Source organism: Homo sapiens, chromosome 2 (assembly GCF_000001405.40).
Source record: "Homo sapiens chromosome 2, GRCh38.p14 Primary Assembly".
Lineage (NCBI taxonomy): Eukaryota > Metazoa > Chordata > Mammalia > Primates > Hominidae > Homo > Homo sapiens.
The window spans coordinates 111,194,647-111,195,325 of NC_000002.12; the positions used below are offsets into that span (position 1 = coordinate 111,194,647).

General features: G+C 45.5%; 1 annotated feature.

Moving 5' to 3' along the window:
• Positions 353–442: a silencer, noted in NCBI's record as "silent region_11867". NCBI's record gives its function as "represses an Ori minimal core promoter by ATAC-STARR-seq in GM12878 lymphoblastoid cells {active_cell/tissue: GM12878}" and the evidence as "EXISTENCE:reporter gene assay evidence [ECO:0000049][PMID:35858748]".

A 679-nucleotide genomic window follows, 5' to 3' on the forward strand; every position in this document is an offset into this window, starting at 1 on the left:
CTGTCAGTCCCCAGAAAGCCACATCTAGGCCTTCCCAGGAACAAACTCTCCTCCAGATAAAAGCTAAATGGTGAAAGATGTCTGTTTTCAGGGCCACTAAGGGCTAGCTTGCCAGGGTGGCCAGTTCTGTCCTGCCTGGATGCAAGTCGGAGGATTCTTGATCTCCTAGCCTGAGTGGACCACTCACTCCAGTGTCCAGTTCTGAACCTGCCAATTCTATAGCTGTGCTTTCTCTCCAGAAACTGAGTCTCAAAAACATCAAGAACATTCTCCATAACTGCAGTTAATCATTACAGCCAGTAGGATGAGTTCTGCCGAATGCTCTCACATCTATGCTTGTGCTGGGCGTGGGAGCAAGTGTCCCTCCCTGCGGTGTGGCCTGCCTGAGAGGCTGCGGTTTCAATTCACAGTAGGGCAGATGTACTAGCTGGTTTATTCCCCTGGGGATCTTAGCTCCTTCAATACCTCTTGTTGTCTTTTTTTTTTAGCCTTACATAAATAAGAATTCACACACCTCTTGAATTGAAAATAAATACAAACAAAAAAAGGAAATAAAACAGAGATCGCCCCTGTGGACATTATGCTGTATCTCTTTGAAGGTATTGTGTATGCATGTTTGTAGGCAGGTCAAAAAATAGGTAGCTAGTGCTATGGTCTGAATGTGTACCCCCAAGATTCA